This window comes from Homo sapiens, chromosome 3, assembly GCF_000001405.40.
Source record: "Homo sapiens chromosome 3, GRCh38.p14 Primary Assembly".
NCBI classification, from domain to species: Eukaryota; Metazoa; Chordata; class Mammalia; order Primates; family Hominidae; genus Homo; species Homo sapiens.
Window position 1 is genome coordinate 24,135,355 of NC_000003.12, and position 23,886 is coordinate 24,159,240.

A 23,886-nucleotide genomic window follows, 5' to 3' on the forward strand; every position below is an offset into this window, starting at 1 on the left:
ATGCTGGCAGCATTTAACTTTTTTTGACCATCCAGCATTGTCTTCTGTTTATTTTTTACTTTATTTTTTTGTGTGTGTTGCTGGCAGTGAGTGGATGAAACCTGGTTTCTGTCGTGTTTCACAATGATTGAGAATGTTTTGGGGCAACTGTTGGCATAGCAAGCCCAGGGAAGGCCACTGTTCGGCTGGCTCTCTGGGAGCAGGCAGAATTGATGAAATAATCACATGTACAGCCTCCTTCTACTTCCCTCTTTCTCACCTAGATTGTGCTAAAGTAAAAGGTACCTGTGTTCCTCCTTTGGTAATGCTGCTCCCTGCAGCCTTCAGATATCCCTGCTCTTCTTTATAATTTCTTCTCATTCCTGAAACTGAGGCTCATCTCACTGACCTTGTCTACTTGACAAGTCTTTTATGAAGATCAACTGATAAAAGGAATGTGGGCACACATTCAAAAAGGCAGAGAGTCATATATATATATATATATATATATATAATACATAAATATATATTAATTACATATCTATATAATTATATATATGTAGGATGAACTTTTTAAAATAAAAATAAAATTAAGAAGTGTAATAACATTGTTTTGGCCTGGCTGAATCTAAACATCTCTCAATGAATACTGATAGAGCTGATCTGATATATTTAAATGGCACTGAGTGTCCTTTGAAATGTTGGTGGGTTAATACTGATGTTAATTTTTTCATTCAATTTGTGGGTGTGTAGATTATTTGAATTCCACTTGTGACATGTGTAAAGATTTGAAAAAAGGAGAGAAAGTATGCAAGGAAATATGGCAATTTTAAGTAAAACTAAACCCCCAAATGTAACAAGCTCACAAGTTTTCTGATGGAAATATATATCAAGGTAGAATAAAAAATTCACTTTTAAGCCTCTGGCTATTTAATGGACTACAAAATTGCTAGAAGTAAAACTATGAACAAAGTAAAACCCTTTGATTTTATCATTAAGATTTTTTTCCATAATGGATCTTAGATACCAGAACAACAAAAAAGAATCTATCTATCTGTTTGTCTATATCCATGAATTGACCCGAGTTATTATCAGGTTAATCAAGGTTGAGCAGTGAAACCCTGTTTGTTACTTCCCTGAAGATTTTTCACCTATAACAAAAATACATAATTTTCTAAAATATTTGGAAGATGTTAAAAATAGAGTATAAATATTTCACATTAGTTGAACCCATTAGATATCTTATTATAGCTAATAGCCTCGTAAACTACTATATGAAATACATTTGCTCATATACACATATGTATTTATGTGCCCAAGATCAAGCTCCAATACTGATGATAAGTCTCTAGCTTGCTTGTAGATTCACCACTGTAGACCTGTGGGGAAAGCCTGCTTTTTGCCTCTGTGGATCCAACTGCCTGAGCTAGCTCATGGTGGTATTTTCAACTCTCATTCTGATATCCTCTCTTTGCCCTAAATGGACTTCCTGAGCTAGCCCAGCTGTCTGCTCTATGTCTCCCCTACAGCTTGCCTTACATTTTCCCATTTCACTGCTGCCTTCTCTCCAGACTTTTGCTTTCTCCAAAGCCCCCACTTCTGTCTCTCATCTCTGTCTTTTCCAAATCCTATTTTCTCTTCAAGACCCAACTCAAGTTCTATCTTCTCCTAGATGTTTTCCCAGGTGACCTCAGTTTGAAATGACATTTACCTCATTCAAACACACATGGTGGCCCATGACTATGAGTCATATGGTATTTAGGCATTTATTACTATCACTTTTTATTATAGTTATGTAAGTACACACCAAAGATATGAACTTAAGGGGGTAGAGAATAAGTCTTACTTGTCTTTGCCTACTGTGTACAAGGCATTGGGCCAAGTTGTGGAGGACAGAATGCTTATTGGTTGAGTGAGTGAATGAATGTATACTTATACCAATATTTATTGAGCAGGTACTGTGGGCCAGGCCTAGTTTTAGATGCTGAGGTTACAGCAATGAACAGTGTATCCTCAAGGACCTTGCATTGTAGTGAGGGGAGATAGACAATAAATAAGAAACATGTATTCGTGGAAGAATTTGTGATAAGTCTGGAGGTGACATGATAATACATGGGGAGGCAGGAGAAAGGAAGGTCAGCCAAGGCCCCTTTGAGAAGCAATGTGTGGACTTTGACTTGAGGAATGTCAAGGAAGTAGCTTTCCTTAGGGCCAGAGGAAGAACACTCAAGGCAGAGAGGAAAGCCAGTGCAAAGTCCCAAAGCCAGAAAGGAGGCCCGTGTGGTTAGAGCCCAGTGATGGCATGAAATGAGGAAGCAGAGGTAGGCAGGGGGATCCGTGATGCTAGGCATTGTAGACCATAGAAAGGAGATGGGCTTATTCTAAATGCAATGGGGCATCTACTGAAGGGCTGTAAACAGGGCATAGACATGACACGATGGTTACTGCATGGAGAAGATATGCGGGGAGTCAAAGGAAAAAACAGGCAGGAAACAGCTGTGGTTTGGGCAGGCTGAAGTGCACTATGGGGATGGCAGTAGAGATGGAGAGGCCTAGAGAATTACAGTTGTATATTGGCAGCTGAAAACAAGGGCCAAAAATGGACTGGCTGTGGGGTAAGGAATCCAGAATGACTTCTTGGGGTAGTGGGGGTGGAGGGTGCAAAAGGAGAGATTCAGGTGTGTGTTCAGGGGTGACCTCAGCCCCTGCTCAGCACGGGTGAGGCTGGTCTTATGCAAATCGTGGCCAACTGGCTTTCTGCTTTGACTATTTCATTAGTATTGTTCAAGGTGAGTAGGAAACGCTGCCAGCTGACCTCTGCTGAGTCCTTGGCTCAGAGCCAAGGACTTCTTGGCTTGAAAAGGTAACTCTCTGACACATGCAGAATGGAGTGGGGCCAGATGGGACTCTCACTTCTTCACTTGTTCATAGGATGTCTTCTTGTACCTTTGCCAGGCTAGACAGGAAGACCTGGGCAGATAATAATTCAAGGTCCTTGGGCCATGGGATATGACTACAGCCTCACCCTTTTCCTGGGATGAGCAGGAATAAGATGGTGGCAGTGCGGGGTGTGGGGGTGGTAAGGATAGTGCATGTAGTAACCACTTACGTGGTTGCTAACAATATGCCAGGCAGTGTTAACCCACTTGTATCTATTGCTTTATGCCATTCAGCAAGGGCATAAGGCAACTGAGCCTGAAATAACTTGCCCAAAGAAGTCACACTTAAAAAAGCAACAAAGGCAAGCATGGAACCTTGGCTGTCTGGTTCCAATCTCCATTCATGTAACTACTAGATTATCCTGCCTTCTTCTGATGTTATTCTAATAACTTGGGGTGATAGATGCCTTCCTGACGTGATTGCACTTGTACTATGAGCTATGCACACAGACCAAATATGGCCTCATCACTCACCCTGTCTGACCCTTCTGCTTATGCCCCTTGTCTGAAGCTGCCCCAATTGAGTGTGTGAAATCAGACAGTATCTCTGCCAGGGAAAAAGTAGGAAAGGTCTCCTCTGATCCTAAAGGTCACATTTTATACTTGGGTAGACATTCACCCAAAGCTACAACTTTGCATGAAAATTAAGGGAGCAGAATAATGACACAATGTCAGCAGACAATAATAAATGATGTCAATAGACAAGATTGTTGCTGTCAGGGGCTGCTACTGGAGGTCTAGAAGCGAGCTACCCTTGGTGGAGTGACCTGCTTTCCCTTGTTTGGCATCAGATGCTGCTTGTTCTCTTCTCAGCCTGCTTCTGCTTTTCATCCTTACTGTCATCACACATGAATTGTTGGTGGTGAAATTAGGCATTTCTGTAGCCTCAGAGATTTGAGTAGATTGGAGAAAACTAGAAAATTATATGATTTAAATGCTTTTGGGAGAAGCTTTAAAGAGTGGCTTTAGATTTATTATGAAAATCTTAATGGCTTTTGCAAAAGTTCCTCATTTGCCAAAGACTCTAATTTTCTCAGACCCAAATATAGATTTAAAATCCAGATCAAATCACTGTCTCTGTTTCTTTTTCTTTCTTTCTTTCTTTTTCTTTTCTTTCTTTTTTTTTTTTGAGACATGGTTTTACTCTGTTGTCCAGTCTGGAGTGGAGTGGCATAATCACAGCTCACTGTAGCCTTGACCTCCTGGGCTTAAGTGATCCATCTACCTCAGCCTCCTGAGTAGTGGGGAACCACAGGTGAGTATCACCAAGCCTGGCTAAATTTGTTTATTTTTTGTAGAGATGGAGTCTCGCTATGTTTACCAGGCTGGTCTCACACTTCTGGGCTCAAGCAATCCACCCACCTTGGCCTCCCAAAGTGCTGAAACTGCAGGCATGAGCCACTGTGGCCAGCCCTGTCTCTATTTCTGACTTGAGTGCTGGTCTTAAAGTGAAAATGGGTCCTGGTCTTAGACTGAAAACTATGTCAGTAGCTCCTTTTAGGGAATAATGCACTTACCCATTCCAGATAAATGAATACTTTCAGCTTTAATGACAACATGTAATCCCATATGACATATTTTTATACTATTGTTAACATGATAGGCCTCCTCAAATTCTTTTTTGGAACAAAATGGGACATCAACACATAAAAAATAAATAACACGTGGCAGTGTTGCAAGCACAGGAAAAGGGGTGTTAGCACACAGGAGAGGCAAATTCTAATGTGCAAAAAAGCCTGTTTGGTACATGATACCTTTCAGTACATGAATACCACTTAGCAAAGCTGTCTTTAAGTAAAGATTCTTAATGTCCTTGCAGGACTAATTCACTACTCAAAAGAGTGAAATTTTCATCCTGAGCATAAATACTCAGTTGGAGTCACGTTTCTGCAAGGAGTATATGTAAATATGTAAACTGGCTAAGACACAGGGCTTAACTGTACTATCTCCAAGGATGGGTGAGTGGAACTGTATGTTCAGTTCAACAAATATTTATCGAGTTCTGTTCTGGTTATTTATTGCTGTATAACAAACTAACCCCAAACTTTGTGGTTTAAAACAACAATTTTTAATTTTCTTTCTGAGTTCTGGGGATTGATTGGCACAGCTAGGGGGCCCTCATACAGCTGCCATCAAATGGCAGTAGAGGCTGGTGTCATGTAAAGGCTTTTTTACTCATATTTCTGGTCCCTGGGCTGCTTGGGAATCTCTCTTTCTGTGTGGCCTTTTTACATGGCTAGCTTGGGATTCCTCACTGCCTGGTGGTCTCAGAGTAGTTGGACCTTTATTATTATTTTTTATTATTCTTATTTTTTAATATATAGTCAACTGCTATGAGAGACCAGGTGGCTTCCCTCCCCCAAGGTACCCAAGTGGAAGCTGCAAGGCTTCTTATGACCCAACCTTAGAAGTAACTTAAATATCACTTCTGCCAAAATGCACTGTTTAAAGGCATCAGATACCAGCCTAGATTCAAGGGGAGAGGGGAACAGACTCTACCTCTCCCAGAGAGAGAACGGGCTGTGTATACAGAGATGAGAAATAATTTGATGGCAGCCATCTTGGAGAAAAGCTGCCACAAGTTTCCATCACACATAGCATAGATACTCAAGTGTGGAGGCTGAATGGAACATTGTTCTCCTGTGAAGAGATGCAGGGGTTATCCCAGGCACAGAAGGGGATTGGCTGACAGAAATGAAGTTCATTGTAGAGACAGACAGGACAGTGGAAGAGTCCTGATCCTTCCCAATAACCCTCTAGGGAAAAATGGCTCGGAGAAGCAGTTATTTACATTTGAATCAAGATGGACAATTTCTTGAGCAGATTAAAGATCTACAAAAGATACATTTCATGTCAGCCCTACAAGGAGAATAAAACTCTCTTGTGCATGGGTAATCTCATGGTTCTGACAGAAGCCTAATGGCAAATCATTCTGTGCCATAGATTCTTTCCATAGATGGTCAGGCTGGTGAACTGTTAGGAGCCTTTAAGTGAACAGTGCAGACCTCAAGACTGGTTCTAATGACTAGATATTGTGACCACACAGCACGAAGATATTTGATTATATTTTGCTTTATAGAGGTGGTTTCTCTGCTTCCAGACATAGCACAACGTCATCTCCTCAGAGATGCTTCTTCTGACCACCATGTTCACAGAAATGAAGTCTCTCCCCACTTCCAGTTCACAAACTCTTCATCCCATCACACTGTTTATTGCCTTCATTGCACTTACCACTACCTGCATTTATTTTGTTTGTTTATCTCTTATTATCTGCCTCCCACTAGAGGAATGTGCCTGACTTATTTACTTTCTGGCACATAGTATCCACTCAATAAATGTTTCTTAAATAAAGGAACAAATCTTTAAAGTCTGGAAAGAAGCACCTTATGACTACTTAAACAAGTTTAGTTGGACTAGTATCCCTTCTCTATGGGGAGTAAAGACAATAAAAGTATAAAATTCCCGGGAGAAGTCCAGGATGAACTTCAAATCTTCTACCTTACTTGGAATTCAGCTTGGTCACGACTTGAAATCAGGAGACAGTGCCAGGCCTGGAAGTGGTTTCTACAATGTCCATTTATGGGTGACACATTTGGGGAAAGGATGGATTTAAGTTTGCAATTAGGTAGGACTCTGTCTTGCTATGCCCCAAGTGTACTGTGTTAGAATTTGTCTATCAATCCAGAATTAGTGCTTTTGAATTTTCTGGCAGATATACCAGGGTGGGGTGAAGATGCAAGATCAAGGCACTGAGAGGCTGCTCCTCCAAAGAGCTGGGATCTTTCAGAGGCTTTTTGGGTTTGTGCAGGTGCCAAGATTGCATAGGGTAGTGGATAGAGACATAAATCCCGGAGCTGGCTGCATCCATCACCACTGTTTACCAGTTGTGGGAGCTCAGGCAAGTTTCCTCAACTTCTGTGTCTTACTTCTCTCTTCTGTAAAATGGAGATATTAACCACATCTACCTACAGGATTGGTATAGGAAGTTAATGAATGAAAAGCACTTAGAATAGTACCTGGCATATGGTAAAGGCCATCTAGGTATTTGCTGACATTGCTGTTAGTGAAAGCCATCAACAAAGTGCTGGCACTATTGTTTCATTACAACGAAAGTAATTGTGTCAGTACAGGTGAATTATGTATAAGCCTTTTCTTTCCAAAACTTCCTTTAAGGTTGTTGTTATGTTGTTTTAAGAAAAAGATCCACTATCTCATTGTAATGTTAATGTTGAGGTACAAGGATAATTATACCACTATATCTTCTTGTTCAGATGGGGAAGTACTCTAATGTGTCCTAGGGATACAAATGAAACCACAGAATATCTGTTGTCAGGTAGGTACTTGAAAAGGGTTTTATATCATAAACTAAGAGCAGAGTCAGTCTCTGAGATGGTCCAGCACTAGTAGGGCACGTAGTCTTTCTAATGAGGTGGGTGGAGAGCCTGGACTTGGAACCAGAAGACCGAGTTGGTTTTGGTGCCTGGCTTTTAGCAGTGCGATCCTGGGCAAGCGGCTTAAGGCCTTGGGCTTGGTTTGCATGTCTGTAAAATGGGGATAGTAATTCCAGCTTACCTCAAAACACTATGAAGTCTGAATAAAAAATGAATGGGAAGAATTTTCACAACTGGTAATTTTTATAAGAATATTAAACATCAATATTGCAAGGGTCTGGAAGGTCTTTTTTCTCTACACACTCGTGCCCACCAACCCTATCCCTACTCCCTCATTCCCATTGCCCTTCTTGAGTCAAGCTCATTTAATTTAAGCTAAAAAATTTTGACTTCTGTTGACATAAAAATATACTTGAGGCCTAGAGGCTATTATAAAGGGAATATTTGGGATTGAGTTCAGGGACTAAATATGTATATACTGGGCATCTAAGGAAAGAAATGGGTATAGAAAGTAAAAGATGGCAGACAAAACATTTTACTAATTAGTTGGTCTGGGAGTGGTCTTTCTAACAGTAAAAGCAAACTGATATAATGTGGCCTAAGAAACTGTTTTAGAATTCAGCAAATCACAAAGTAGATGGTAGGAGTGGCCTTTATTCTCACACAGACCTAGACTCAAATCCTAGCTTTGCAAGTTACTCAGCCTCTCAGAGCTACGGTTTCCCTATCAGTAAAATGAGGCAATAACACCAGTATCCCAAGGTGATGAGGACTGAATAAATTGAGGTAGAAAACACTGGCATATAAGTGAAACTGATCTGTGCAAGGAAGCCTTACCAGGAATTTCCGTTTTTGCTTCCAGTGGCTGCCTTGGGCGTTGGTCGCCACATGGGCTTCGGTGACAGTTTTGATGAGCTCCCATTCCTCGTCTGTGGGCTCTGGCTTGTGCCCGATGGACTTCTGCAGCTCTTCCCGCCGTCTTTTCTCCCGGTTCTCCTCTATCAGCTTCCTCTTGGCCAGCCTCTTGCTGTCATCCAGCACCACTGGGAGGGGGAGAAAGATGAGACAAGGCACACAGATGCTCCCAAGATACACAGCAAGCTGCACTTCCTGGAGCCTCAGGAGTGGGACCACTGATGCACAGATGGCTTACTGGGTCCTTCGGGGTGGGTCACACTGGGACAGTTTCTCTCCTCACCAGCAAACTGCCATTGACTAGTCTTGTCCAACATGGTCTCTAGAGCCAAACTCCCCATGACCGGCCAGCTTTTCAAAACAAAGTCCCCAGAGAACCTAGACACTGCGCACTCCAACTCCACAGAAGGTGGTTCTAAAACAGAGTGAAGCAGAGAGGTAAAATCCATACTACCCACAAGATCACAGAGAAATCTGTCCAGCCAGTCATCCGAATTCACTCTCTGGGTTTCTGTCCTCCCCGCTTCCCCTAAAACGGCTCTTAGTAAAGAGAACTTCAGGTTAAAGAAACGTTATGGAATTAAAAAAAGAAACGTTATGGAGCAGTAAGTGGGAGGCTCGTGATCCCTTTTTTTAAGAGGAAAAAGGACCCCAACTCTTCATGGCTCCCTTAAGGGCTAATTGGAATGTGGCTGGGCCTCACCTGGGCCTCAAGGTACTCACTGTACATTATTCTCTACCTGGTCCACCCTCAAGGGTGGTTAAAGAGTCCAGGCTTTGGAATCTAGAAAGACTTGGGTTTGAATTCTGATATTATTACATTCTAGCTGTGTGACCTCTGGCAAGTTCCTTAGGTTCTCTGAGCTTTCATTTCTTCCTATACAAAATGGGCTCAATAATACCCACTTCACAGAGTATTCAATGTGATAATGCATTATAAGTGCTCAGTAAATGCAGTCCTGACTTCTATCATTTGGGTGAAAGGAAAATCAGAAGGGCAGGTAACAAGAAACCTATATTTCTGTGGTCAATTTCCAAAACCAAAACCGTTTCACTAGACTTGGTAACTATCAATGGAATGGAAAGGCTCAGGTTTTACATTGCAGAGTCATAGTATTTTAGAACTGGAAGGGAACTTAGACGTCATCTAGTCCTACTCTGTCTTTTCACAGAAAGAAGAAGAAATTGATCCAGAGAGGTCGTGACTTGCCTAAAGTCACAGAGCAAGTTAATGGCAGAGCCAAGGCAAGACCCAGGACTCCTGACTCCAGTTCTACGACATCACTGTCCTAGGGCCATTTCTTGATGAAGGTGTGACCTGGTAGGAAAAGAAAAAAAGCAGACATAGCAAGAGAAGGAGAACCAAGGTGCCTAGCTAGTCTCCCATTTAAATATTCTAATTTAAAGAGAATATTAAATTCCAGACCATTTAGATTTGATTGGATTGTCAAAGTCATGTGAGCGCTTACAAATGAGGAAAATATGAATGAGCCCTGTTAAGTCATTTTGGTTCAGTTACTAAAGGGAAAGGAGGAATGGTAATAATACCCTCAACCCCTTCCCAAATGCTTCCGGTGTGCCAGGGACTGTTGTATTTGATGAACATTATCTAATTTAATCTTGAAAACAACTCTACAAGGTAGGCAATGATTTCACAGAAGGAAAATCTCAGCTTAATTCCAAAGGTCACACAGCTAGTAAGTGACAGATCTGGGACTCGAACAGAAGTTTTTCTGATTAGAAAGCCTGAGCTCTTAGAATCCCTCACAAGCAAGTAAAGGGCACTCAAAATTTATTTCCATACAGTCTAGATTAACACTGAGTTTTTAAACCTCATAGACACTAGTATCTTAAACTTCTCAATAGAACACTGAAATAGATAATCAATAATAAGTTTGTCATAGTGGCATATCTAAGTATTTGGCTGTAAGTCAATCATATTCACATATCCCTATCAGGCATATTGTTGGCAAGGGCTAAAGGCCTTTAAGAGATAAAGATAAAGAAAATACTCAGCCAGAGGTGGGGATTAACCCAGGATTTCCAGCCTAACACTCTAACATAACCCTCTTCCTTTTTAAAGATTCTCCATTCCTTCTTCTTTAATGGGCAAACCAGAACATTTCACAGATTTTTTTTTCTCAGTGAAAGAACTCTATTTCTCACATAAAATGTGAGTCATGATTACTTCTTTCATCAGGAAAAATCCTCACTGTATTTTCTTTTTTCTTTCTTCATTTTTTATCTTTCTTTTTCTTTTTAATTTTTAACTAATAGTTGGAATCTCTCACTGATGTGCAAAAAATTTATGCCAGTAGAATCATTAATACTGATGCCTGGCAAAAGGGAGGCCACACATTCTGAATGACATGATTCTTATTTTTATGATTAGATTAATTAAAGTGACTGGTGTAAATCCCTCGCACAGTGTGGGGAGAAGAGACCCCAAGGGCTAATCTCGCCACCATATGCTGTAGCACTTTGAAAACTGGGTAGGACGACTTCAGCTCGGAATGTCTTTATTGCTAAAAATATAACAAACAACCAACTGCAGGATGACTCATGCAATAGCACTCAACTTTGCATTCTTCAGAAATTTCTGAACACGATGTTTTCTGCCAGCGCCCCATCTCCAAAAATGTCCATAAAATAAATTCCTGTCTTTGCTCTTGAAAAAATATTAGGACTAGTCCCTGAGGCTCTACCCCATGTGAACACTGTGTATAGAATGATACCTTATCAAGGTAAATGGACCAGACCTCTCATTTGTAATCTCTGTCTCAAACAGAGTGTTGCTAACAACTAGGCCTGCAAATGTGATAGGGATAATTTAACTGCATTTCCTCCTCCATCATCCATACTTTGACAGTTAGGAGGTGGTATGACAGGGTAGGATGGAACCCACCCAGCAATGGCTCCCACCTCCCTTTCAGGGCAAGCCTGGATGTGGGGAGTGAGGGGTGTATGCGAAAGTAAGGTATTCCCTTCTCTGTCTTCTTGGGTTCCTGCCTTCTTTTCTGCCCAGTCGATCTCCTTGAACCAAACTGTTTCCTAATCAACATTCCTTGAATATGAAGCAAGTGAAGATCTACTTACAATCTGTTGCCATGCCAACATAGATGCATTTCTTAAAGCGACATTCCTGGCACTGATTTCGCGTGACTTTGTCTATGACACATTTTCCTTCATATTTACAGGAATAGGATGGATGGAGATTTTTCTGAATGGTTCTTCTAAAGAAACCCTATATGAAAAACAAAGACCCAAGACAACAGTTTCATATTTTCTTGAAATCAGTGATTCTGGAATTTTGTGTCCATATAACTATGAGATGAATCGTTTTGGACCTTAACCTGTTTCTAGGCCTCTAGCTCCACATATTCAAATATAAGACAGTTGGCCCAGAAGGATCTAGAGAGTTCTAAATCTGAGCTGATGATGCCATAGGACTACAGAGTCAACACCTTTTTTTTTGGTCTTTATTCAAGGAAAAGAGGCTAGTAGGAACATCTAGCGCTTGTTTTTATTTTTTCTAAATATTGAATATATAAGTAAATTATACTGTTCTATTTCATATACTGACATAATTGTGTTGCTAAATTAAGCTATGAGGAGTTTTGCTACTTTATACTGAGTAATAAGAGAGCTCCAAGACCAAGAAGAAAGTGAAAAAAATGAAAAGACATGGATACTTGCAATACTTTATTAATTAAAAATCTAATAATTTAGTAATTAAACAGATGTACTAGCTGGCTTCCTGGATTTAGTTTAATACTTGTTTTTGAATCTTGAGACAGCCATGATCAGCTCACTTAGCCTTTCAAACAATAGGACTCAGGGAGTAGAACGCTCCAGGTTTTCTACCAAGTTTTTCCCCATAGCTCATTGCATTGAGGTTTTCCTTTTATAACACTCTTTCTTTGGTATCTGTAGACATACACCTACAGGTTCAATGATTCTTCCTTTCTTAAGGCATGAGAGAGCACCTCTGTAGCATCTGGGGACACTGTTTAGTTCTAGGTTTGGGTGACTTAGGTAATATTCTCAAGAATGTGCAATACTAGAATTTTTCTGGACGTGATCCTCAAGTTGAGGCAACTGTCATCTGTATTGTAGAAGTTAATAACAGCAGTGAGCACTTATTGTGAGGGCACATTGCTAAGTGCTGTAGAAACATTCAATATCCTTCTATCTTCCCTACAATCATGTAAAGGAGGTGCTCTAAATATTTCCATGGTAGGGATTAAAAAAGTAAACCTCAGACAGGTTAAATCGCTTGCCCAAATCACATGGTAAGTACATGTGGGAACTTCAGGTAGGATGGAAACCACCCAGCAATGACCCCCACCTCCCTTGCAACCCAGGAGCGGCACTCCACATCTTACTTGCTTAACTGCTTATATGATGTATAATGAAGTAAATTTTACTGTATTACTTGAATGTTTTAGATCAACAGATTATAAACAGTCCTGCCCCAGCCACTTAAAAAGTTCATTTTAACTGTTGGTAGGATAACAAGGCAAAATGAGTGTTTTAAAATGTAAGAAATTAAAAAAAATTTTTTTTGAGACAGAGTCTCGCTCTGTCACCTAGGCTGGGGTGCAGTGGTGCGATCTTGGCTCACTACAACCTCCACCTCCAGGGTGCAAGTGATTCTCATATCTTAGCATCCAGAGTAGCTGGGATTACAGGCGTGTGCTACCACACCTGGCTAATTTTTGTATTTTTAGTAGAGACGGGGTTTTGCCATGTTGGCCAGGCTGGTCTCGAACTCCTGGCCTTCAGTGATCCGTCCTCCTTGGCCTCCCAAAGTGCTGGGATTATAGGCGTGAGCCACCACGCCTGGCTAATTTTTGTATTTTTAGTAGAGATGCGTTTTTGCCATATTGGCCAGGCTGGTCTCCAACACCTGGCCTCAAGTGATCCGTCTGCCTCCGCCTCCCAAAGTGCTGGGATTACAGGCATGAGCCACTGTTCCTGGTGGCAAAACAAGTTTTGATGGATGTCTTCTGCTAAGGCCTAAAGGGGTCCTCTAACTTTGCTAGATAAATGGTGGGAAATATCAGTTGATCTAGATTCAGCCCAAATTTTTATGATCCCGGTTAATGTTCTTTGGCTTTGATTATATACGTATACCCTATTGCATATTCCTCCTTCAGACACAAAAGCTCTTTCTTATTATGAAAATGCCCGAGGTAGGATTTTATATTGGGCAAAGCAGAATAAAATAGAAAAACATCAGGAATAACTGAGACTAACAGACTTGATTTTGGGGCGTATATGCAAATCCCTTATCATTTCCATTGTTCAAGTTCTAACAGAAAACTGTCAATATTATATTTGGGTTCTGTGTTCCTAAGCACTTGAGTCCATTAATTTCAGTGATGTTCATACACTGTTACAAGATTCACTCATTCACACGCAGGGCAGTTGTTGGAGATGTTGGCAATGATTTCCTGGGTGTGCAGGGTGGGCAAATCTTGCCAAAGCATGAATGTCAGAGCATGCCATGAGAGTGAAAAACAAGTTTCCCTGCAAACCTAGCTTTTCTCTCTGCTACCCTCTGACCAAGGAGGGCAAAGGAGAACTAAAGAAACCCAGAGATTCCTGGCAAGAAGATGTATGTCACAGACAGGGAGGGGAGGGGTAGGGTAGCACGCCTCCTTCTGGAGGAAACAATAATTTCCTAGAGGTAGAAATACCAAAGTCCAAGACATCCAGTAAGAATGCTGACGGCTTACTAGGATAGGAAGATTGTTAGTCTATCTGAAGTTGGGGAGACCCTTGTCTCCCTCATACTCTGATGCTGACTCATGTTCAGGGGTGGGTTTAGGGCAAGGAGTACATTGACCAGTAAGACCACGCTAAGCAGAGAATGAGGTGTGACACACCAGACACTCCAAAAAGTCACTCTGTTCACTTTTTATTGGGATGAATGAAATAATTTATACTTTGCTTATTTCCACAAAAGAGTTGAGATAGCTAGCTCTACTATACACTATGCCATCTTTTCTGTGGCCTATCTCTGATGACTTGTCTTGGGCACTTCATGGACCAAATCCTTTTAAAGATGTTGGCCTTTCTTTTTTTTGTTTTTTCTTGATTTTCTTCTTAAAATGTTGGCCTTTCTTAAGCTATAATTAAAGCATATTTTGATGTATGATAAGGAACCACTTCATTTTAAAAAGTAACAGAAATTAACTCTTGGAAGTGGACTTGAAGACATTTAAAACAGTCTACTTATTTTAAAAAAATCCTTTTAGAGATGAGCTGACAAAAGAGATGCCCTGGGCAATAAATAAGGACATATATTTCATTGATGATTTGTTGGTAAGAAGAGGTCTTGCTTTTATAAATCAATATCAGACATGTTTCTTTGTATTCTGAGAAGAACTGTATCCATTTTTTAGTACTTTGAGATGATTCACTGATCAATGTGAAAAGGAGATAACTCACTCTTCTAGTTCACTATTCAGGCAGCTGTTGAAAAGCTTTGATTCTTTCTCTAAAAATAGTTTGCTGTGGGACAGTATCAATATCCTTTCTACAAAAGATGTGTAAAAACTTGGATATCACAACAGACATGACATCTCCAAAAGATTTCACTCTTCTCAGGGTGAAAACTGGCAAAAAGGATTCTCTCCATACACATTGCAAGTATGGGGTAGAAATATTTTTAAATTACAGGTTTGAATAAACGATATAGGAAACAATTAACCCTTTCATCTTTCACCACTCTTAAAAACCGTGTTTCACTTGAAAAACTCGTTTGTCTTTTTCCAAGATGCTTTGTCATTATATTAAGTGATCCGCACAAGTACCCTGGGAAGGCTCTTCTCTGATTTTACAATGAAGGCAACCCTAGAAACAGGATTCTGACCTGAGACAAAGTCACAGAATCTGAAAAAAAATCTAGATTTTGCTACACGATTTCTTCTTTTAAGAAAACCTCAGCTGATCCAGGCTCCAAACATCCTGTGATCTAGGGAAAACAGGCTAGTTGATTTCTTGATCATCCTGAAGACATATGTGAGGCAGGGATATAGGTTAATAGGCTCAATTCTCTCTTTGTTTAAGTCAGTCACTAATAACGTATTGTCCTCTGTAAGGCACATTCACTCTTTAGAGTCATTTTGGGGAATTAAGTATTAAATTGAATTCCATATTAAATGGAATCAGGATCTCTCTCCCAGAATTCGAAATTTCCCATTATGCGCCGATTTAGAAGAATCTCAGTGCTGCAACTAAGGTAGGGAAAGCCTTATGAATTGGGACTAATTTAGAGAAAAGTCTAGTTTGAATTATCGAACTTTTGGAATGAGAGTAGGTACCTAAAGTTATGTAGTTTTATTACTTTCAAATCAAGCCAATAAAACTACTTTCAAGAGACTGTCTGCAAGTCTCTAATTAATAAATAGCCAGAACTTACTTGTAATTAGATTCATTAAATTCCCTAAGACATTATTTTCATAGATGTAATGGCAACCTTTAGCCCAGTCTTTGTTAAAGGACTACGAATTCCAGATCAAAGGGGTCTGGATAAATAAGAACATGTTACACCACATTCCAAAAAGCAAGTCTTGCAACCTTAGAAATTACCCCTTTCCAATGGATGTATTATCTCAACATTTTTAGCAGCCTTCTCCTAAATGTTTCCTAATGTCACGTACAAAAACATAGGGAATTTGCATGGAAAATCTTCCACTAGGGAAAAGGAAAACACCTTAATTTGAAACTGAGCTAACATGTTGATTTGGGGGCTTTACGAGCAAGGGTATGAACAAAGCGGGGCAGTTGGAGAAGCGGAAGAAGAGAAAAAGAGGTAAGGTGGATGAGAGAGGAGGGAAGGTGAAATGTTTTATACATTTAATACAATTTTTGCTTTAGGGTTTACATCTTGATAATTTAGTTTTAAATATAAGAGGTAAAAAAGACAAGGTATTTAACAAGTAAACAATTTTAAAAGTCCTTCCCTGACTTTAAATACTTCTTTATTTATGAAACATTAGCTGAACAGACACGAAATACAGCACTGGGTCAAGCTTTTTCCTTTATGGTAGATTTCATTTTCAAGGCTAGATTGTTGGACCAAAAGATATTTTCCAGAAACCTTATCTGAATTTTGTTGATGAAGTCTTGTAAGTAGGCCAATTTAGGTTCAGTTTCAGGAAGTGAATGGACTGATCACTGGTATATTCTTGTCAAGTATTTCCTGCAGATAGGACTGTACAGCACAAAATTAGCCGATGGATGACCAGAATCTACTTAGTCACTGCAGGCTGTGCGAAAAGCCAACTTGGATAATTTCAGAACATAACTGAATCTAAGTAGCCTCAAAGATATTCCCTATTGGAACCCTTGAAAATGAGCATATTCACTCAGACTAACAGCAGAAAACAGCCTGTGGTAGAGTAAACTCTGTCTCCTCCAACACTGTAGATAAAACAAGAAGAGAAACAGTCATTTCTCGGGATGACAACATGTTAAAAAGGACCTATGCTTTTTAAACCCAAAGTAAGAGTTTTATTAATTTCTTTTTATTTTATTGATTCTCTTCCTGTTTTAAAAACACTTGCAGAAGTAAAGAAACCAGACATTACACTCATTTAGTTATTTATGATTTGGGAAAAAAATTCAGTTCTTGAACATGTCAAAAATGAAGAGCACAACCAGACACCTGGATGATCACAGACCATGGATGTTAGAATTTGATTTTAATTTGAATTTAAACTTAACATTGCATTCTGGAAGAGGACTGGGAGGGGACTGGAGCTGGGCTAAGCTCTGTGCTTGTGGACCCAGGGCAATTACCTTGCAGCCTTCACACGTGATACAGCGGTAGTGATACCCGGTGGCTTTGTCACCACACACTACACAGAGCTCGTCCTTGTCTAAGTAACTGGGGATGTACCCTGTGAAGGAAATAAAAGAAGGAATATTAAAAAATAATATGTTAACGTCAAAGAGACACTATAGCTAAGGTTGCTAGGCCAGAGACAAAATTGGCTTGCCAGGAAGAGGTAACAACAGTAAAGACTTAGTGAAACCAAACGGTAAGAATTTTATACTCATAGAGTTAACATAGGCCCAGGATTTCAGAATGCCTTAGAAATAGCTCACACCTATAATCCCAGCACTTTGGGAGGCCCAGGCAGGTGGATCACCTGGGGTCAGGAGTTCAAGACCAGCCTGGCCAACATGGCAAAACCCTCTCTCTACTAAAAATACAAATAATTAGCCGGGCATGGTGACAGGCACCTGTAATCCCAGCTACTCAGGAGGCTGAGGCAAGATAATCACTTGAACCCAGGAGGCAGAGGTTGCAGTGAGCTGAGATTGTGCCACTGCACTCCAGCCTGGGCGACAAGAGCGAAATTCTGCCAAAAAAAAAAAAAGAAAGAAAGAAAGAAAGAAAGAAAGAAAGAAAGATAGCTGTGATCACTTGCTGTGCAGGTGGGAATGGCAGGAAGGCTGTAGAGCCAGTGACTCAAGCAGAGAGGCCAGGATTTGAGCACTGTGAGTTCTAGATAACACAATCTATTTAACAAGGCTTATTTCAAAACCTGTTTTCACAAGATTTGATCCACTTTGGAATCACAGTACCATGCAATGAATTCAGAAAACTTTATAGCTGGAAAGGTCCCGGGAGATGACGAAGTCCTTGTAAGGTGAAGAAACAGGCCTGCAGAGGTTTGGCCTTCCTCAGGGTCTCACTGGAAATTACAGGCAGGACTAAAACCCCAGTCTCTTAATTTCTAGCCCTCCAGTGTAATATGCTGGTCTTTTTCTAAAAATGGAGAGTTGACTTTAAGTAGAATGAATTTTGCCACCTAAAAAAGTTAGGTAAACTTGTGATATTATGATATGCAATCCAACAACACTGGATAGTGTGAAATGACAGAGGTTTTGTTTATTAAGAAAAAAGGAAAATCCAACTATGATAACTCTCTTTTTTAGTGGACAATGAGTTTATTAGTTTAAATTCCTTGACTCAGGAAGCTAAAAAGCACAAAAGCAGAAGCCTCCTGTTTCCCTCCTGTCTTTGCTCCTTCAGCTTCCTGTGGAGAGGATGCCCAGACACAAGATGCTGATTCAGGAGGGCAGGTTCATTCTCCCCTCTATCAATGGTTTACCATTGATAAATTATGTGATATATAGAATCACACAGCTTCACATAAGACCAAACAATCAAAATGAGGCAGGATTGGTTGGGATGTGAAGAAGGAAGAGGCTGAGAAACAATCCTTTCTCCCTATCATGGTCCTTATGAAGTTTTTTGACTCAGTTCAGCAAAGTCTTCTTTGTTCCAATAAAGATTAGCTAGGTTGAAATGACTGATGCCTTACTGTGTATCTTACCGTGACATTTCATAGACCTTTTATTAAACTAGGTCACTGAAGTCTTGCTTTTCAGAAAAAAAGCCATTAAGGAAACAGAATGAAATAAATCCTTTTCATAATTTCTTAGAAATTATGTTGCTCCAACTTTAATTTAGAAAAATGTTCCTTCTTGGGAGGCAGATAATTGACTTGAAAGTGAGGTTTAGTAATGTACAGGATTATATTTTTAAATATCACAGCTTTTCTTAGTTTACTTTTGCATCATGCAAACCATGATTCATCTGTTGAGTTCACTGCAAGGGTTTCAAAACTCTTGTCAGTCATTTTTAAAAAGGGAATTCTGGGAAGGATCTGGGCAGAGAAAAAAGGGAACTAGAATGCTTTGCGCGTTCATTCAGTCATTTATCTATGAATTCAGAAAACATTTATTTAGCATCTACATGTGCTTAGCATTGTTCTAGGTGCTGAAAATACAAAAATGAGTAAGACATGGTTTCTTCCTTTGTAAACTCATAAGCTGAGTTCTGTTTCTGTAGCCTTGGTCATTCTTCAATGAGAAAAAGAGAGGTGAAAATGAAGGGAAGAACATGAAAAGATGCTCAACATCATTGCAGGGAAATGCAAATCAAAACCACAATGAGATACCACTTTACACTCACTAGTATGGTTTTAACAAAAATGACACAGTCACAAGTGTTGGTAAGGAGGTGTGCTCATGTGCTTTTGTGTGCATATAAAGACCTACTTATAAAACACAAAGTAACTTTTAAACCACAAAGTAACTCAATTAGGAAAACAGGCACCTTCCTGGTAAAGGCAGATGGAATATACAGACCCATACTGTCAAAAAAGCTACATCTGAACCTCTTATACCTCGAGGTTATACACAATTAATCCAACAGAATGAAGACTTTCAAGTTCTTAGTATCAAGTATGGAATGCAGAGATAAGGGAAAAAGAGGTACAAGTCATTTCTGTCTAATCTCAGGTATGAGAACCAATTGTGATACACTTGAACACTGCTGTACTTGTGGGACATGACTTGGGAGGGGTCAAAACAAGGTGTCCAAGAACATTAACCAGAGTTGGGAAGATGCAGGTAGTTCCCTCTCACCTCATACTACCCCAGCCTGTCTCATGAGACCTGCTGGCTTTATCTTTTGGCATTGGCAGCCAGACACTGAAGATTTATTCCTACCTGTAGTTCAACAATTTATGTAGATGGTGTTTAAGGTTCTTGTGGAATCCAACAATAATTCAATCAGTGACTGGAATGGACTCCTTTCATTTACTGACTGCTAGGCTGAGAGGTGGTGTGCTTTACTCTCTTATTTCTCCTAGACTATCTTCTTCATGGGTGGAGGTGATTAAATGACTTTAGTTAAATCATCAAAACTTCTACAGAAACATCTACTTAAGTTGGTGGCAGCTACTTACATGATCATACTAGTGCACCCCACCCCTTGCTTTCTTTTCTGTAACATATTAACTCTGAACCATCTTATTTATCCAAAACAGTCACCACAGGCAATGATACATCAATCATTATGCCTAAGTCCATTATTCTTCATTAAATAACTTCCATCAGGGAATAATGTCCCACACATAGTGACTAGGTAGGTGAGGATTCTCTTAAGGTTACTGAACATGATTGACAACATTACATACTAACCAATTCTCCTAGAGAACTTAACCATTTCTTGCTGTTGTATTTCCTGTTGTATTTTAGTGTCTCCATCATTTTCCTTTGTCATACTCACCAAATGAGTTACACAATGGTCAGTATGCCAAACTAAGGAAAATGCACATGTATCATTAGTTTTGTTGCCAAGAGTGGACACTGATGAGTGTCATAATGTCAGCGTTGGATTCTGCCTAGAAACAAATACTACAGACACAATCCTGGAAGCTACGACTGTTCATGTCAGGAACTGCATCTGCTAGTTGTCCCAGGTGACTGCTAAAGAAGCCTGGTCAATAACCCTCCAGAAAAAATTAAGGTCCATGACAATATATGATAGTTCAAAAATGATATATTTCCCTCAGCTCTTGTCTGCTCAGATGTATTATTTTTCAGATTAATACATTATGCTGCCACTTTATCAAGCATATTTTTATAAAAGCAAACTCCATCTGTTCAACAAAGGACTTGAGATTTTTTCAGTTGACATTTGGCAATGTCTGGTTAATTGCTAAGTATTATCTTGAATATCTTACAGTTAATGCTATTTAAAAAATATTCTCTGAGCGACTTGTCATGTAGAAGGGGAAAGTTTTGTACATTTGCACTACAAAGGATGCAACAGGTAGTAAGCTTGCCTTCTTGGTTGAAAACAGATTCAATGCTTTCTTCCCTATGGGCAAGATCAGAAGGCTGGCTAGTTTAATTCTTTTGAGTGAATTATAACAGCATCTCAGGTCCTAGGAGGAGAAACACTGGTTCCTCTTGTCACCTTGGCAGATACATGGCCCTTAGGGAATAGAATATAAAGCAGATTAATCTTGAAAGTAGATCTAAAATATAAGGTGCTGCCTAGGAGAGCAGAAGTAGCAGCATGTGAGAAGAGCTGAGTTCAGAGATCTTTTCCAAACTGGCAAATCTTATCATCTGTATAAGACCACTTGCCTAGCAGAACCAGTCCTGGCATCTTAAGGGAGGGGCTGTGGTTTGCGGTAGTGGGAAATACTTTGGGTAGCTCAGAGAAGTGAAGAAGTTCCATGTTGCTGATTCATCTTGTAGAGCTATCAACTCAGAGCCAGTAGGTATCTGATCTTGGGACGGGATAGAGGATGAGACTGTATTTTGTCACCCTTCAGGAAGCTAAGTCACTAGCATGCTTAGTCACTCTTCTGATTTTATACTGAACCTCCTCAGTTCATCCTGCAGCTCAGACCTGATGATTTAAGCTTGTTTTCCCCACCAGCACCTTCCCTATGTCATTTCTTGACAAACTTAAAAACCTTGAAAGGGTTATCCTTTAGCCTTTCCCCAACATACGAATCCTGATTCCTTTTATATTTAATTCTTGGCATTAGGTACCAAGCTTTATATCATGTTAATCTTTAACCCTGTGATAGACACTATATTAAATTAAACCATGCATTCATCCATTTGTTTATTTAACAGCATGTATGGGTGTACTGTGTGGAAGACACTTGGTACAAACTTGAAACAGCATTAACTTTGGAGGCCTTCATCCATTGCCCTCTGCAAATTATTAGCAGAGCTGCCCCAGGGGCTCCCACTTCACACAATTCACAATCTTTCCTCAGAACATCCACTGTTTTCCCACCCTGCCTACCCCTGCTTGGAGTCTTGGAGTCTCTTTCTTTACACTTTGCCCTCTGGCTGGCTGGGCCCTGGTGTTGGGGGACAGCAGACAATGGCTCGCCAGGCTTTGAACACTGAAGCACTGGTGGGCGGAGGAGGGGCGAGCAGGAGGACCAAGTAGAGGTGTCAATCTAGAAAAGGGGATGAGGATATGAGGCCAAAGGACCCTGGATTCTCATCGGAGGCTTTAGTGCAGAAAAAGGGACAACATGAGTTTTGGATCATTTCTTCTGATTCAAGAATTCCTGAAACTAAGACATATTTTTAAATTACAATTTTTTTTAACTTTTATTTTTTGAGACAGGGACTCACTTCTGTCACCCGGACTGGAGTGCAGTGGCATGACCATGGCTCACTGGAGCCTTGAACTCCTGGGCCCAAGCAGTCCTCCCAGCTCAGCTTCCTGAGTAGCTGGGACTACAGGTGCATGGTCACCACACCTGGCTAATTTTGAAGTTGTTTCGTAGAGATGGGGTCTTGCTATGTTTCCCAGGCTGGTCTTGAGCTCCTGGTTCAAACCAGCCTCCCGTCTTGGCCTCCCAGAGTGTTGGGACTACAGGCATGAGCCACAGTGCTCAGCCTATTTTTTAATTTTTAGGGCCAGGTTTGGGCATAGTATAGTTTAATGTATAAGAAGTACCTAGTGAAATGTTCCTTTTGCCGTCCCTGTACATTCAGATCCTTAATAGCTGACATAACCTTTCAATCTACAATTAGAGGGAAAACACTTGAAGATGCAAACCACTAAGAAAGGGAATACGTTGATATAATGCGTTTGAGTTGGAATGTTAATCAAAAGGGCACACATTCTGGCAGTCTACAACATTTGGCTTGCAGAGTGTTTTTAAAAATCGTAGCAAATTTTTAAAACTAGGAAATTTCATAAAACATACAGAATTCTTGCTTCATGTGAAAAACAGGAGGAACTGGCAATACTGAACCCAAATTCTCACAGTGTAACGATCAACTGAACTAGAAAGGTAGCCCTACCTCCCAAGAAACGGACATCCTTTTTAGGCTCCACAGTCAGAACCTCTCCTGATTGTGTGCATCAGTTGCTATTTATTTTTGTTCTTGCATTATGCCTTTTCATAAATAAAGAAATATTTCACATAATTCTTTATCTTTATCAAGAGTGGAAAAACAAAAGTAGTTTGAGAAAAATGATAACTTTTTTTTTTTTTGGGGGGAGGGTGGGGGACGAGTTTCACTCTTGTTGACCAGGCTGGAGTGCAATGGCACGATCTCGGCTCGCTGCAGCTTCCACCTCCTGGGTTCAAGTGATTCTCCTGCCTCAGCCTCCTGAGTCACTGGGATTACAGGTGCCTGCCACCACGCCCAGCTATTATTTGTTATTTTTAGTAGAGACGGGGTTTTGTCATGTTGGCCAGGCTGGTCTCGAAATCCTGATCTCAGGTAGTCTACCTGCCTCGGCCTCCCAAGGTGCTGGGATTATAGGCGTGAGCCACTGCTCCCGGCCTGAGAACATATTTCTTCATGGAAGTGAGAAGTATTCTTATCATATATTATGTAAGCATTATGTGTCTTTGTTGAAAAATTTAAATTAAGCAGCCATTGTAAGACAGCTCTTCCTCTCTCTCTCTCTCTCTCTCTCTCTCTCTCGCATACTTGGGGGCATTGGAGTTGTAGAACCCTGGTATTGATGAGATCATTTCCTGTTTTAAAAGACGGCATGAATTAGAAAGCAGGAAGGCAAAGTCATCAGAAGATTAGGGGAGGGAGCAGAAACAGTCACTAGAGAAGGGTGATAGTTGCCTCTGATTTTGCTGTGAGAAGCAATTTATAGCTTTGGGCTCATGCAGAGGCACCCACAGTTATGTCATATCCTGAATCCTTGAGAAAAACAAGTGTCATTTCTTTACCTGAAAATCCATTCAGAATGGGATTCAAGGTTATAGCTCTAAAAATGTGGGCTAGCAGCCCTTCAGCCTTATGTTACATAAACATACATAAAAGGGAAGGAGCTGTTG

The 23,886-nt window shown here is 40.3% G+C and overlaps 1 protein-coding gene and 1 long non-coding RNA gene across 54 annotated transcripts in view, besides 2 other annotated features; one reads left to right on the plus strand and one right to left on the minus strand.

The window, feature by feature from the left end:
- THRB (thyroid hormone receptor beta) overlaps window positions 1-23,886 on the minus strand; it is a 378,556-nt gene that overhangs the window by 18,202 nt on the left and 336,468 nt on the right. For all 53 annotated transcript variants that reach the window (NM_001374822.1, NM_001374823.1, NM_001374824.1 and 50 more), the window contains 3 exons: window positions 17,036-17,136; window positions 11,321-11,468; window positions 8,147-8,352 (listed from right to left, as the gene is read on the minus strand). In NM_001374822.1, coding sequence (NP_001361751.1) covers window positions 8,147-8,352; window positions 11,321-11,468; window positions 17,036-17,136 — 455 coding nt within the window. The remainder of the gene's footprint in view (window positions 1-8,146; window positions 8,353-11,320; window positions 11,469-17,035; window positions 17,137-23,886) is intronic.
- Window positions 7,592-8,791: an enhancer, noted in NCBI's record as "CDK7 strongly-dependent group 2 enhancer chr3:24184437-24185636 (GRCh37/hg19 assembly coordinates)". NCBI's record gives its function as "activates an origin of replication core promoter dependent on BRD2, BRD4, P300/CBP, MED14 and CDK7 cofactors, with strong dependence on CDK7, by STARR-seq in HCT116 cells {active_cell/tissue: HCT116}" and the evidence as "EXISTENCE:reporter gene assay evidence [ECO:0000049][PMID:35650434]".
- THRB-AS2 (THRB antisense RNA 2) overlaps window positions 15,970-23,886 on the plus strand; it is a 38,633-nt gene continuing 30,716 nt past the window's right edge. The window contains exon 1 of the long non-coding RNA NR_121667.1: window positions 15,970-16,046. This is a non-coding gene — a long non-coding RNA (THRB antisense RNA 2). The remainder of the gene's footprint in view (window positions 16,047-23,886) is intronic.
- Window positions 17,660-17,860: a silencer, noted in NCBI's record as "peak4578 fragment used in MPRA reporter construct". NCBI's record gives its function as "represses an SCP1 promoter by STARR-seq MPRAs in K562 erythroleukemia cells {active_cell/tissue: K562}" and the evidence as "EXISTENCE:reporter gene assay evidence [ECO:0000049][PMID:32103011]".